Source organism: Homo sapiens, chromosome 3 (assembly GCF_000001405.40).
Source record: "Homo sapiens chromosome 3, GRCh38.p14 Primary Assembly".
Classification (NCBI taxonomy): Eukaryota; Metazoa; Chordata; class Mammalia; order Primates; family Hominidae; genus Homo; species Homo sapiens.
The window spans coordinates 32,112,429-32,129,031 of record NC_000003.12 but is presented as its reverse complement, the minus strand read 5'-3'; the positions used below and the strand labels follow the sequence as shown (position 1 = coordinate 32,129,031).

Below are 16,603 nucleotides of genomic sequence, written 5' to 3'. Positions count from 1 at the left end.
TGCAAGTCAATAGAAGGAGGTCAGGCAATAACCTGTATTTTTCTCTCCCAGACTTAATAAGCTTGAATTTAAACTGTCAGTCTTACATTTTCCCATTTTCTTCTATCTCCTTCTGTAATTTAGGCCTTGACCCTGACTTTAATTACAGACCATTGTATTAGCTGTCCTAGCAAGCTGATCTCATGCACTTAGGGTACAGCAGGAGCTACTTGGGGAGCAGGAGCAGCCTAAGGCAAGTTTGTTAGTTCCAGAGGTGGCTGGCACTTTGAATGCCAAGGAGGAAACCTGTTATGGGCTGTACCTCAGAATGTGACTGTATCTGGAAACAGTGTCTTAAAAGAGGTAATTAACTTAAGTCATTGGGGTGGGTCTTTATCCAATATGACTGCTATCTTTATAAGAGGAGATTATGACAGAGACAGGATTAGAGGGAAGACCATGTGAAAATACAGAAGATGCTATCTATAAGCCAAGGAGAGAGGCCTCAGAAGAAATTAACCCTATCAACACCCTGATCTCATGCTCAAAACCTCTAGAATTATAAAAGATAAATTTCTGTTGTTTAAGGTACCCAGTCTGGCACTTTGTTAAGGCATCCTTAGCAACATAATAGGAAACCCATTTTCAGAGTCAGGAAGACCAAAACCAACCAACCAATTGGTAGTGGAAAGGAACTGGGGAAAAGGGAAGCAGCTTTCCCAGTTCCAAAACCCAAGTGCTGCTCAGCCAAGCACAACTTGCAGAATGAACCAATGTACATTTCACCCCAAAGTCTTACCACATTTTCTGGCAGCTTGTGTCCAGGAAGATATTTTACATTTTCATGGTCATTATTTATGATGTCTGTCAGTTTTCTGCCATTCACTGTTTCTTCAAAGACCCACATCTTGACTGTGGAGGCAAATTTCTGAAGTTTCTTGACATTATTACCAATTATTTTTGCAACAGCTGAACCCCTACAAAAGAAATCGTGGAAAAGAAAAACATAAACTCACTTGGGCGGGAGAGAAAAAGCGTTTGATTAAAATTCAGAAGACTTGTGTTTTGATTCTGATTCAAACACTGAGCCTACTCAAGATGTGACGTGTATCAGCCCCAAGCCATTTGAAACTTAGTTGTTTTCACATGGAATACCACCGCCTGTGACTGGGAAAGCACCAGAATTTGGCTTAAGGTCAAAATGCACCACCCCTTGAAACTAGTAAGAATCAACCTATCTTGGAAGACAACGTCACAGGCAGAAGAGAAATCCACCCCAAAGCATGAAAATGACCCTAGAAGGTCTTGAAAGGATATTGAGATGTACCTGTGGTAAGATAAACTGTGTCTTGATGAACTGCAACAGGTGCAAAGCAGAATCACAAAGGAAAGACAAGAACCTGACTGGATTCCAGAAGAGGAGCAAAGGGAGAGCGCAGGGCCCAGTTGTTGAGTACTTTGCACTCCCTCCGCCCTGCAACCAAGCCGGCCTCTGGCCCCCAAGCTCCCTTTTCTCTGCATCTCTATTTAGCAAACATGTTCTAGTGACGGCTCAGTCTCCCACAGGCTTTCCTACAGGGGACAAGAATGACCCTGATTTGTTAACATCTGTCCTCCCGACAGCAGTGCAGGTCTGCACGTGGTTGCCGCAGCAGAGGAGGTTGGACCAGGCACCTGTGTCCATCTCACAGAAGCTGCTGATGGGGCCATGGTGGGCACTTGATCCTAGCTGAGCCTGTCAGCTTTCCCCTCTGGACTTTCAACTGAGAAACAGTTTGTTTCTTAGATGACCTTCCTGGCGTGAGGAGCAAATGAGAGAACGCAGTAAAGAGCATCTTGCAAATTCATGTGTTAGGGCAGTTGCTACTTTTTCTCACAATTATTCTCAAGACAAATTGATGAGATGGAGTAGGGGGTGACAACAAAAGGCGGGGGCGGCCAAGTGGATGCAGAACATGTTGGAGACATTTATTTTCATCCCTGGATGAATCTGTTATTCTAACCCAAATATAATACATCCCAGCATATAAACCTGTATGCTTTAACAACCATAAAATTTCAAGTAATTCTAACAGATTATAAATATTGTCCCTTTCCTGACATAGAAGGGATAAACTGAACCAGTGGTTCTCAACTTTGGCTGCACACAGAGTTACCCGGGAGATTTAAAAATCCTGAGTCCCAGACCACACCCCAGGCCAACGGAACTGGCACTTCTGTGGTGGGATCAGGCATCTGTACTTTTTAAAGCTCCCTGATGACTTGATGTGCAGCCAGGGCTGAGAGCCACTGCTCTGCACAATGATTAGAATTCTGATGCCCTCCTCCCTCACAAAAGAATAGCTGTAGATATCAAGGCTATGCAGCTGTACCTGTGAAATTCTTATTCTATGCCAGCAGGACAGGTTATTAGAAAAATACCCATTAATCTAATTCTCCTACTGACACTTTGTAGAAGGGAGGCCAGGAATCTCCCACCATCACTACCACCTTTATTCTAATCTTGGAAACAGCTGCTCACGTACTCACAGGAAGATAAAGGCTGTGGTTCACAGTGTTCCCTGGCATCAAGTAACTTTCACAAGGTCATAGAGAACAAGTATGGTTCTGGGGGACTGAGCATCAACTGACGAGGGACTATGAGACACCAGGAATCTAAGTCTAGTAAACCAAGTGGAAAAATAAATCAGAACCAGGAATCCCTCCCCATGATCTTACTGGAATACACTTGCTTTCCCCTTTACAGCTGCCTCTTGGGGAAGCCAAACATTTGCAACCAGAAGCAAACCTGTAGTATCTGCTGCAATGAGTTGGGAATATTTATTTATTTATGTATTTATTTATTTATTTAATTTATTGATACAGGATCTCACTCTGTCACCCAGGCTGGAGTGCAGTGGCACAGTCACAATTCACTGCAGCCTCGACCTCCTGGGCTCAGGTGATCCTTCCAACTCAGCCTCCTGAGTGGCTGGGACTACAGGCACATGCCACCACACCTGCCTAGAGTTAGGAAAATTTAAACAAACATTGGTACCATTAAGAACTAAGCCCTCCAGACCATGTCTGTACATCCTTTGGGATTCAATGGGGCTTAAAGTGACAGGATAAAAAATTAATAAGGGGAATTCCAGTTATTTTACTCTTGGGGGGTCATCAAGACCTCATTCTACCTCATTCCTGGTTTCATCAATAATTTCAGTCATTCACTCATTTATCTCAGTCATCAAATATTTACTGAGCACCTACTATGCGTAATGCATTGGGCCAGATGGTGGTAATACAGCAGGGGAAAGGCAATGTGTTATTTGCTCTCAAAAGCTTACCACCCGCTCAGAGAGATAAATAGCTAAAAGGCATTCATGATGCTGTGTGTGGTAAGAGGTGGAAGAAAGTGGAAGCAGATGTGGTTAGAAGGGTAAACTGCAGTGGACTTCAATACAAAGGAACCAACTGCAATACATGTTGATCCATGACAAGTCTCCCAGGCTCAACCTTCTATTAAGAGAACCATAATGGACAGCCCAACCCAGGGTGCAGGGAGAAGACATAAGGATGGTGCTCAGGAAGACCAAACCCCGCTGAGAAGCAAAAAAAGCTTCGCAAATCAGGGCTGGGAAGAGCAGACACAGCAGTGCTTTCCACCCAAATACTCAGCTAACTGCAGACACATGAGTGAGCCTGACCAGCTGATCCATAACTCATAAGCAATCATAAATGCTTGTTATTTTAAGCAGCTGAGTTAGGGGAGAGTGGGCTGTGTTGCAGCAAAAGCTGATAGATGCATAAATACAGCATCTTTGACACAACTAGAGGCCACTCCAAGTGAATTGTTGGCCAAGCTGTTGGATTTGCCACCCAGGGATTGGCAATGTGGTGGGAGGGATTGGGGGCTGCGGTAGTGTTCAGTGCTGAAGGAAGGACTGTGGAATTAAATTCACATATGGAGAGGAACAAAATGATCCTAGTACCTTAAGGCCTAGTTTTGTTCTCTATATATAATTTATACAGTAATTTTTTTGGCAAGGGTGGCGGGGAGGCAGGGCATGGAGGAGGAGGACCAGGACTTAAAACACTATATTTTATTTTGTTTTAACCCCCTTTGGCATACTCTCTCTGTTTGTTTGTTTGAGACAATGTCTTGCTCTGTCCTCCAGGCTGGAGTGCAGTGGTGCAATCATGGCTCACTGCAGCCTTGACCTCCCAGGCTCAAGGGAATCATCCCTGGCCCCTCGAGTAGCTGGACTACATGTGTGCCACCACGCCCAGCTAATTTTTTAAAAAGTTTTTGTAGAGATGAAATCTCTCTATGTTGCCCAGGCTAGTCTTGAACTCCTGGGCTCAAACGATCCTCCCACCTTGGCCTCCCAAGGTGTTAGGATTACAGGCATGAGCCACTGCGCCCAGCCCAATCTCCATGTTGAACTCAATATTTTCTCTGTTGTCCACTTTTATCTGTGTGGTTTATAAAAAATCAAAAAGTATAACCCGCACCCAAAATTCCTTTGTGCCTCTGGAATGGTACTAGATGCATTTGTCCCAAGTGTTACCTCTTCTGACCAATGTGAAAGAGCAGTTTCATTTTTCTTGTGGATGAAATAGAGCAAGGAAAGTGTTTTGGAGGAGCCAGAGGGTTTTGAAGGGAACAGAGTCTACTTATAAGTGGCACACCCTGTTCTAAAGAAATGGGCCGGGGGTGGTGGCTCACGCCTGTAATCCCAGCACTTTGGGAGGCCGAGGCGGGTGGATCACAAGGTCAGGAGATTGAGACCATCCTGGCCAACATGGTGAAACCCTGTCTCTACTAAAAATACAAAAAATTAGCTGAGCATGGTGGCGTGCGCCTGTAGTCCCAGCTACTCAAGAGGCTGAGGCAGGAGAATCGCTTGAACTCAGGAGGCGGAGGTTGCAGTGAGCCGAGATCATGCCACTGTATTCCAGCTTGGGCTACAGAGGAAGACTCTGTCTGGGAAAAAAGAAAGAAAGAAAGAAAGAAATGTGACTGGCCAACAGAAGGCCAGTCCAAAAATGTACATAGATATATTAGAGCTGAGCTTAAAATAAAAGTACTGACTACAGTCCACAAAGGTGGTTTGCATGTGAACAGGTCATAGTTGGGGACCTGCGGCCACACTGCTGGCACTCTCCATGTCTCAGCTGCTTTCTGTAACACTACACAAGCATAGTCAGGCATGGGTCTTATCTGTCTGTCTATCTATCTATCTATCTATCTATCTATCTATCTATCTATCTATCTATCTTTCAATTCCTGCATATCTATCTCTCTGTCTATCTACCTGCCTGCCTATTTTTCAACTCCTGCATATCTATCTATCTATCTATCTGTCTGTCTGTCTTTCGACTCCCGCATTTTGAGAATCGAGGGCACAGGTCTTCACATGGCTGGGTCAAGGGCACGAGCAGCCACCTCCACATCAGGCTCAGCTCATCCATCTACAAAATGATGGGGGGGTCAGGTAATCTTTAAGGTTCCTTCCAGGTCTATGATCGAATCCAGTGCTTCCCAAAGTGAGAAATGGGTACTAGGGATACACACGAAACCAAATGACACTGAATCACTCATGCCCTTTTCAACTCTCATGGTCCTGAGCGAGTGCAGAATGTCTCGCTGCAGTGCCATTAAGTGGTTACCATCTCTCCAGCATGTGCTAATTTCCCTTCTTCACAAAGTCTGAAGAGGCCTCAGACTCTGAGCCTTGGCAGGTAGTAATATCTGGCAAGAATTTTATAACACTGTCTTGTTTTCATTCTACTGGGTTTTGTTGTTGTTACCTTCTACTTGTGATATTTACTATAGTGGTATGAAGTTGTCTTTTAAAGTAAACATTTAGGCTGGACACAGTGGCTTCCACCTGGAATCTCAGCACACTGGGAGGCTAAGGAGGGAGCATTTCTTGAGCCCAGGAGTTTGAGACAGCTTGGGCAACATACTGAGATCCTGTCTCTACAAAAAATAAAAAATTAGCTGGGCATGGCGGCTGCACCTGTAGTCCTAGCGACTCAGGAGGCTGAAGCGAGAGGATCAGTTGAGCCCAGGAGGTCAAGGCTGCAGTAAGCCATGATCATACCACCGCAATCCAGCCTGGGTAATGGCACACAACCCTGTCTCCAAAAAATAAATGAATAAAAATAAACTTTTAAAGAAAGAATAGCAATCAAATAATACTATAGCTATGAAGCAGATAGAGCCAAAGCCATAAGGGTGCTGCCTGCATGATGTGTTTAACCCTACCCAAACTCTTCATCTTGCAGATTAAGATGCATGAGACTCAGTCATGTTCACCTTGCATCCTACGACCAGGTATGGCCTCCAGGTGGGTCTTACCTGGGGAGGAGGTTGGGGAGCCTTCCAGGCAGAAGGAAGGCCCCCGGAGCAAAGGTCAAAAACTAGCTAAGGCAGAACTTGGAGGACTCAGGTCTGCTGATGGCCAGTCCTGGGTCTTTACATAGATGTATAAAATTCTATTACCCATGAAATAATGAATTGTCTTAAGTCTTAGGCCTTAAAGTATACACTATTTCACAAGTCCTGTAATGCTATGCAAATAAAATTTAAAAGGAACTTGAGTAGATGGGTACTTCATATAAGATTTCATTTAAAAAATCTTTATTACAGCCCATAAGAGAGGTGCACATTATCCCCATTTTACAGATGATGAAATTGAGGCCCAAAGAGCATAAATGAATTGCCTAAGTCATGCTGTCCATCTACGGTTAGCAATTCAAACCCAGATCTGAGTGTCTCCAAAGCCTGCACTTGCTGCTAATTCATATTTGCCCTATTGTAGTGTAGAGTCTTTTATTGAAAATATTTATTGAGCACCCATTAATTTCAGACACCATGCTGGGTGCAAGGGACACAAGGGAATGAACGCAGACAAGTCCCCATCCTCATGGAGCTTGGAGACTGGTAAACAGAGACTGACGCTGTTTCAACAAGCACAGAAAAAAATGTAACTGTGCTGCTGCGCACGGTGGCTCACGCCTGTAATCCCAGCACTTTGGGAGGCCAAGGCGGGCAGATCACGAGGTCAGGAGTTCAAGACCAGCCTGACCAACATGGTAAAACACCGTCTCTGCTAAAAATACAAAAATTAGCCGGGCGTGGTGGCGCGTGCCTGTAATCCCAGCTCCTCAGGAGGCTGAGGACAGAGACTCACTTGAAACTGGGAGGCAGAGGTTGCGGTGAGCTGAAATCACACCACTGCACTCCAGCCTCGGCAAAAGAGCAAAACTCTGCCTAAAAAAAATATATATATATATAGAAATATATATATATAGAAATATATATATAGAAATATATATATAGAAATATATGTAGAAATATATATATAAATATATATATAGAAATATACACATAGAAATATATATAGAAATATATATATTATATATATAGAAATATATATAATATATATAGAAATATATATAGAAATATATATATAGAAATATATATATAGAAATATATACATAGAAATATATATATAGAAATATATACATAGAAATATATATAGAGAGAAATATATATAGAGAGAAATATATATAGAGAGAAATATATATAGAGAGAAATATATATAGAGAGAAATATATATATAAAGAAAGCCTAGCCAGGGCGGAGCTCTGAGGCTTAGTGGGCCTTACCCGGGGAGGAGGCTGGGTACCTTCCCGGCAGCAGTAAGGCCCCTGGGGCAAAGCTCACTCATAGCAGGTGGCATGGCCAACAATAGGCACAGATTTTATCTAGAACCAACACATCCAGAGAGGAGAGAAAAGAAGGAAGAGGAGACAGGTTAAGGGAAGGAGAGAAGAGGAGACAGTGCAAGAGAAATGGAAAGGATCAGGGAGACTAAGGGAGGAGAAAAAGAGGAGGGAGGGAAGGTGGAGAAAATGGCGTGGCAGGGGCAAGAGGCAAGGAAGGGACGGGGTGGGCAAAAACAGCACTAATTTGGTGCGTACCAGGTGTCAGGCACTGTTTCAAATACCTTACCCACAGTATCCCTTTTAACCCTTCTGCTCTACGGCCCTGAGTCCCAGCTGGATGGACACCCGCCTGCAGGAGGTCCTAACCCCCAGCTTGGCAATGCCCTCCCCGCCTCCAGCCCCAGCTAACCCTTTGCCATTCACTCTGTCCACAGCCTTCTCACCCCTTTCTCTCTAAAAAGGTGTAGTATTTAATTAGGCTGGGGAGGTACTACTTCAGCCAAGGAATGGACGCCTGTTTTTAAATAAAAATAAAAATTTCAGAACCCTCTAAATTTATTATGCCAAGGGGGAAGTTAGGGCTTGGAGACTGGGTTATGTATAACTTGCATGCTTGCAATTCTGCTTCACTCTCTTCCCCACTGTTCTTGACTTCCTCATTGTAAATGACTAGGAGAGACCAGATCTTCCCGCTTCTAATTGCTGATCTTTGTTGTACATTAACTGCCTCCTTCATTGTCCTGTACCTAACTCGCACCAGATAGCGTCAGTCCAAGACCCAATGATGGTTACATCTGCTGTGTGGAATGTTAAATATACCTCCCCCACCACTCAGAAAGACCACCTTGACTAATCAGATCATTGTAACTATGCATTAAGCCTTACATAGAAACATGCTGAAATCCTATTAAATTTCCCTGAACTTTTTCTATATGAACACTGTCAAATTTCTTGGAATCTGTTCTTTCTGGGCAGGCTCACTTGTTTTTGTTTGTTTGTTTGTTTTTTGTTTTTTTTGAGACAGAGTCTCACTCTGTCGCCAGGCTGGAGTACAGTGGTGCGATCTTGACTCACTGCAACCTCCGTCTCCTGGGTTCAAGCGATTCTCCTGCCTCAGGCTCCCCAGTAGCTGGGACTACAGGCACGCGCCACCACACCCAACTAAATTTTGTATTTTTAGTAGAGACAGGGTTTCACCATGTTGGCTGGCATGGTCTTGATCTCTTTGTGATCCGCCTGCCTCGGCCTCCCAAAGTGCTGGGATTACAGTTGTGAGCCACTGTGTCCGGCCGGCAGGCTCACTTTTAACCTTCGCACTTAATTAAACTCTCTTTAAACTAGATTCTGACCTTTTTGATTATTTTAGGTTGACACTATCAAGTTGGGCCTAAAAACCTGATGAATTTCTTTGAGGCCAGAAAGGACCCTACAGTCCATCCTTCTTTTTACTATGGAGGAAGCGGAGGTCCAGGAAGAATACACCATCAGCTAGATTCTCCACATTCCATGCCCCCATCTCTTCCAGAGCTGACCCGGGCTGGTTCCATGGGCAAAAGCGTGGTCCTTTGTGGTTTAAATAACATGTACTTTTTCACTCATAAGAGCAATACATGAAAAAAATTATGAATAATCTCACCACCCAGGGAGAACCACTATTAACATTTTGCGTAATTCTTTGCAGTCAAAGGGCTTTTAAAGAACAACCAAATGCCAGAGTATTAGATGCAAATGTTAAAAATGAAGTATTTTAAAAATAGATTCAACTTGGCGAATGTTATTTGATCTCTACATAGGGAAGCTTTCTAAGCTTAAAATCAAAGAAAGAAACCACAAAGGAAAAAAGATCAATATGAACAACTTCACTTCAAAGAGGAAGGAGACTGAAAAGGCTTTCTATCAAAATTCAAACTGTAGGGGAAAATGCTTATGATAGAATGTTACATTTAACAAAAAGGATGTAAAATTGTACATACCATATGATTGCAAGTGTGCAATTAATAAATAATACCACCTCAGATCCACTTAGATGGCTACTATCAAAAACACAGAAAATAATAAGTGTTGGTAAGGATGCAGAGAAATCAGGACCCTTGTATACTGTTTGTAGATTTGTAAAATACTGCAGCCACTGTGGAAAACCAAATGGCAGTCCCTCAAAGAATTAAAAATAGAACTAACATATGATCAAGCAATTCTGTTTCTGGGTATATACCCCAAAGAATTGAAAGCAGGGTCTCAAAGAGGTATTTGTACACCCATGTTCATAGCAACACTATTCACAATTGCCAAAAGGTGGAAGCAACCCAAGTGTCCATCAACTGATGTATGGATAAGCAAAAGGTGGTCTACACATGCAATGGGATATTATCCAGCCTTAAAAAGGAAATTCTGACATACGTTACAACATGGATGAACCTTGAAGACATTATGCTAACTGAAATAAGCCAGACACAGAAGGATAAATAATGTATAATTCTACTTATATGAGGTACTTAGAGTAGTCAAATTCATAGAGACAGAAAGTAGAAGCGTGGTTTCCAGGGACTGGGGAAAGAGTGGATTGAGGAACTGTCGTTTAATGAATATAGAGTTTCAGATTTGCAAGATGAAAAGAATTCTGGAGATCTAATTCTTTTCAATATTTTCATTGTTTTCAATACGAACAATGTGAACATTCTTAACCCTACTAAACCGTATGCTTAAAAATGGTTAAGGTGGTAAATTTTATGTTATGTGTATTTTGTCACAATTAAAAAAACATACACACTTAAAAAGGATGGCAAGAAAACACACAAGAACAAGCATAAGACCCAGCCTATGGTCAGATCCTATTAAAAGTGCAGTTCGTGGACCAGCAGTGAATATATCCCTGAGAGCGTGTTAGAAATGCTGAACCTCAGGCCCTACCCCAGACCTGCTGAATCAGAATCTGCTCTGTAACACAATCCCCAAGAGATTCACATGCACATTGAAGTGTTGACATAGTAGATGCACAACAAACATTTGTTGCATGAATACATCCTTTCTTGTTGGTAAGTTTACAAGCAAATGTTATTGTGTTCTTCATACTTGCCTATCTTTTCCAAATTTTCCCAAACAGGCATGTGTTAGTTTATTTTTTTATTCTGATTTTAAATCATTCCCATTTAGATATTTTAACAGACCCCGAATCCAAAGCAGACAAGTTTCAGCAAGTCCCAAGGCCTGTTAGCCAACCAGAAAATAGAAGCTATGGAGGTTTAACTGAAATCCACAGATGCCCCCTAAGTCTCATTTTAGTTGATACTTACTTCAATATGTTTTCAGAGCAGCCAAGTAGGAGCAGTTTGGGATGGACCACACCTCTGTCAGCCTGTACAAAAATGGCTATCCATGACCTGGTCAGCCATGCTATCAACCCCACACACCATGGGAACAATGTTCATCTGAGTGAATGGAGGAATGGTCAGTGATTAATTCAGATCGGAATCAAAGACATAGGTAGCAGGAGAATCTACCTGCCCACTCAGGAGAACAACACACAGGGTCCTGGAGAATGTCTAAGTCACAGTCTCAAATTGCCTTTAAGGACCACCAGTCTTAAGCAAGGATGGCAGAGAACCAAACTGTCCATGGTGCTTCAAACAAGCATATTCTACATCCTAGCACAAACTTTTTAGATAAATACATTCTGCAAGCCCATCTATTGATAATGGAAAGAACCATGCAGTGCAAATTCTAACAGCCACCTGGCACTTGGTCTCTGTTGACATAACAACTGAAAGACTATACACCCCTGCCCGCATTCCTGGATAATGAGAATTACTGAAAACCATTTCCAAACATCCACCAGAGTCTCAACAATGCAAAATCTCAGCTTTCAAACCTGAGCTCTACACCAGACATGCTAGGTAATCCAGAACAAACAAATCTCTTTTCTGCTTATGTTTCTAGGCCCTCTACAGCTGGAATGTTACTGTCCACCTTCCTCATACTTGCTTATTACAAAGTGAAAAATGAAATAAGAAATCATGACTAAATTATTTCTCATGTATTGTTCTGGCTTCCACCAACATATATGCAGATGGTTCAGTATAAGGCTATTCACTGCAGAACTCTTAGAATATCCATCAAGAGGAAACTGATTAAACAAAAGCATACCTATACCCAGCAATATTATACAAGTATAAAAAAGAATGAAGATGTTCTTTATGTATAGATATGGAAAGGGCTTCAAGACACAGTTACATGAAAAAGCAAGGAGAAAATAAGTATGTAGAGCTCCACTGCATACGTAGCTACACATAGTATTTACATTTTAATTAGTTAACATTTAAATGTAGTCCGAATAGCCACATTTCAAGTGGGCAGGAAGGCAGAGAACTTCAACCACTCTACTGCATAGTATCTGTGTAACTTAGAACACATTACATAACTTCTGTAAGCTCAGACTTATTATAAAATAAGGATGATGACAATACAGTACCTCATACTGTGAGGATTAACTCAGATAACACATAAAGTGCTTAAGGGGTTAACCGGGATAGTCCTTACTACTGAATCTAACATTTGTGCAGCTGTGGGCCAAAGCTGAGCATGAGCTGGCTGTGTCAGTCAAGGCCTCACAGATGGGTTCTCCTTTGGTAGAAGTAACTAGTCCAAGTAGTAGTAAATTTAAATATGAGTAGTAGTAAAATTGGTAGTAGTAAATCAGTCCAAGCTAGATGCTGTCAGTCCCCACCCCAATCCCCACCCCAGCTTGCTATCGTAGGTCACAGCACCCTTTCCTGGCAAAGCTACTCTCTTCCCCAGAATCCTTCTCAACACAAAACTCTCTGCAGCCACCATTAATCAACTAGAGTCAGTGCCTGAGATGAAATTTATCTGCCATCATTGCTGGTCCTGGTTGTGAGGATCAGAATCATGTTACTCAAACTCACAAGAGTTCCTTTTAAGCAGGTTACCATAAGATTTGTTGTTTAAAACAAGATCCTTTTGAGAATGCTCTGAAATTAGACTGGGACAAGTATAAACCACAGTTGAAGACAAATGTGAATGCATGGTCACTTAATTATATGTGATAATGCAAATTTATCCATAATCATTTCTAACATTTATATAACATATTACAGTTGTCAAAGTGTTTGCACATGCAGAATTTCAACAGACGACCCACACAATGGAGAACCATGGAGTACAGTCTACAAAAGGCACTTCCTCTCACTGGGTGGATCCACTCAAGAAACCCAACTTAAAAAGTTCAACCTGGCCGGGCACGGTGGCTCACATCTGTAAACCCAGCACTTTGAGAGGCCGAGGCGGGCACATCACGAGGTCAGGAGATCGAGACCATCCTGGCTAACACGGTGAAACCCCGTCTCTACTAAAAATACAAAAAAATTAGCCTGGCGTGGTGGCACATGCCTGCAGTCCCAGCTACTCGGAGGCTGAGGCAGGAGAATTGCTTGAACCCGGGAGGTGGAGGTTGCAGTGAGCCAAGATCGTGCCACTGCACTCCAACCTGTGCAACAGAGCGAGACTCCGTCTCAAAAAAAAAAAAAAAAAAAAAAAAAAAAAAAAAAAAAAAAAAAAAAAAGTTCAACGTACACGAAAAGGGTTTAGATGCTTGAAGACATTTCCATCAAGCTGAGGTAGCTACATGAATTACTAATTTCAGCTTGGGGATATTTCTGTCCAGATGGCCAGTGTTAGGGCTATTAGGTTAGAGTTCTCCTCCTCCTCCAGGACTGGAGAAACACAAATTCTTTGGTTCTTTTTTTGCCTATAACCCATGCAAACCACTTCCTTTCTTCAGCACTGGAAAAACCGGGTAGAGAAAATCCAAATGATGAGGATATAGTTTTCTTAGGACATACATGTGACTCTGGCTGTAATGATAATGAGAGGTGAAGCCAGCTGGACTTCTTGGGTCCAGTGGGGACTTGGAGAACTTTTCTGCCTAGCTAAAGTATTGTAAACGCACCAATCAGCACTCTGTAAAAATGCACCAATCAGCACTCTGTGTCTAGCTAAAGGATTATAAATGCACCAATCAGTACTCTGGAAAAACACACCAGTCAGCACTCTGTGTCTAGCTAAAGGATTGTAAATGCACCAATCAGCACTCTGTGTCTAGCTAAAGGATTGTAAATGCACCAATCAGCACTCTATAAAATGCATCAATCAGCACTCTGTAAAATGGACCAATCAGCACTCTGTAAAACGGACCAATCAGCAGGTTGTGGGCAGGGCCAAATAAAGGAATAGAAGCTGGCCACCCCAGCCAGTGGTGGCAACCGGCTCAGGTCTCCTTCTACTCCGTGGATGCTTTGTTCTTTCGCTCTTCACAATAAATCTTGCTGCTGCTCACTCTTTGGGTCTGTACTACCTTTATGAGCTGTAACACTCACTACAGAGGTCTGCGGCTTCACTCCTGAAGTAAGCGAGACCACAAACCCACCTGGAGGAACAAACAACTCTGAACGCGCCACCTTTAAGAGCTGTAACACTCACTGGGAAGGTCTGTGGCTTCACTCCTGAAGTCAGCGAGACCACGAACCCACTGGAAGGAAGAAACTCCGAACACATCTGAACATCTGAAGGAACAAACTCTGAACACACCATCTTTAAGAACTGTAACACTCACCGTGAGGGTCCGCGGCTTCATTCTCGAAGTCAGCGAGACCAAGAACCCACCGGAAGGAACCAAGTCCGGAAACAATAAGAATGAGAAACTGTTTTACTATCTAGGACAGTGTTTCTCAAACTGAAGGTTATGCAGGCACAAAATAAATATAAGGAGAAGAGATCACAGTTAATCACCCATAGTAACATTTGTTACTGTGAAACATTTGTTTCTGGTTGGATATGAAGTATCCTCCATCATAATATAAAATTGTATGTCAGCTAGTTGCAAGTCAAAAAATTTAAAGCCACAGATTTAGGAAACTATGACTCTTCTGAACACATGGACTAGAAAAGCATCTGGCCCAATTCGTGCTACAGCTTGAAAAGTGCCTATTAAGTTCATGAAGGTTTGCCTTCTCTTACTCTTGTTAGAACCCAACCACCATATGGAGAAGCCTAAGCTAGCCTGCTGAAGGATGAAAGACATGTGGGCTGGTCACCCCTGTCACGCTGGCTGAAGCCTGCCCACTGCCAGACATGAAGGAGGTCATCTAGGACCAAGAGTCCCAGCCAGGCTGGGTGTGGTGGCCCATGCCTGTAATCCCAGTACTTTGGGAGGCCAAGGCAGGAGGATCACTTGAGCCCAGGTGTTCGAAATCAGCTTGGGCAACATAGTGAGACCCCACCTCTATGATGAAATCTGAAGATTAGCCAGGCATGGTGGTGTGTGCCTCTAGTCCCAGCTACTCGGGAGGTTAAGGTGGGAGGATTGCTTGAGCCTTGGAGGTTGAGGCTGCAATGCATTGTGATCATGCCACTGTACTCCAGCCTGGGTGACAGAGTGAGACTCCCAAAAAATAACAACAAAAAAAAGGTGGGTGAGAGTGTCCAACCAAGTCACCAGCCAACCACAGCCATATGAGTGAGCCTAGGCTAGATCAGCAGAAAATCTGCCAGGTTAGTCAGCCCACATTGTTAAACCCCAGAATCATGAGCTAATAAATGATTGCTGTCTGAAGCCACTAAGTTTGGGGGTAGACTGTTAGGCAGTGAGAGATGACTGATTCAGTTCTCCTCTTCCAATTGTGGAAGAGACTGAGCCTCAAAGCAGAATAACTACAAAGTGTCACCAGTATAACCTTATGGGAGCCCAGGACACTTCTGGCACAGTGAGCTTAGTTCCTGACATCACCCAGTTGGGGAGGAGGAAAGGGAAAGGAGAATGGTGACACAGATGGTGAGGATCCCAGAAACTACTGTCCACCTGCAACCACTGAGAGACTTGGGGATGCTACTTGGCCTGCCAGAGACAAGATTTAGGAGATATGTGACTTTTCTGTCCAAAGGGACATGACTTAGAGAAGAGTAGGCTCACCTAAGTGTTGCTCTGGGATTAACAGGTAAAAGTTAGAGGTGATAGATTTTTAGCTTAGATTTTCCTAAGATTTTTCTTCACATACAAAGAAAAAAAAAGATAAGATTTTTTCAACAATTAATCCTCTAATTAATTTTAAGATCAATTGCCTTGAAAATAGTAAACTATAATCATCTGTCATATCTATAGGAGAAGGGATGACTACATTGGTGGGAAACTGAATGAGATGATTTTTAAGGCCTTGCTTCCATTTTATTTCTCAGAAGGAGAATATAAAATTGGATTTTGTTGGGAGGATACTCAACATTTTTATGAAAATGATATTTATCCTCATGTGAAAGTATGCTTCACACTGAAAATGGTAAGAATTTATGGAAACATGGTCTTTGGGGTTAAAAGGATCTGGGTTTCAAGTCCACCTACTAACTGTTGACTTAAGCAAGTTTTCTCTAAATCTTAGTTATGTCATCTAACATAGGGTTATAATAATAGTACCCCACAGGCCTGTCACATGTTTAAACGAAATAACATCATGTACATGACACACAGAAAATGATAAATTATTATATTTATGCCTCTTAAGGAAGAGAAGGAGATAGAATGGAAGAATGAAGCAAGAGGTAAAGGTTAAGAAATGAAAGGTTAAGGTAAGACACTGGGAGCTCTCGACTCATTCCTAGAATAGTAGTCATTATTATATTATATATATTTTTTTGAGATAGGGTTTCCCTCCTGTCACCCAGGCTGGAGTGCAATGGTGCCATCTTGGCTCACTGCAACCTTTGCCTCCTGGGCTCAAGTGATTCTCCTGCCTTAGCCTCCCAAGTGGGTGGGACTACAGGCGCATGCCATCATGCCCAGCTAATTTTTGTATTTTTTTTGTACAGACAGGGTCTCACTAAGTTGTCTAGGCTGGTCTTGAAC

General features: G+C 42.6%; 1 protein-coding gene across 2 annotated transcripts in view; it reads right to left on the bottom strand.

The window, feature by feature from the left end:
* GPD1L (glycerol-3-phosphate dehydrogenase 1 like) overlaps positions 1 to 16,603 on the bottom strand; it is a 62,090-nt gene that overhangs the window by 39,678 nt on the left and 5,809 nt on the right. For both annotated transcript variants that reach the window (NM_015141.4, XM_006713068.3), the window contains exon 2: positions 779 to 956. In NM_015141.4, coding sequence (NP_055956.1) covers positions 779 to 956 — 178 coding nt within the window. The remainder of the gene's footprint in view (positions 1 to 778; positions 957 to 16,603) is intronic.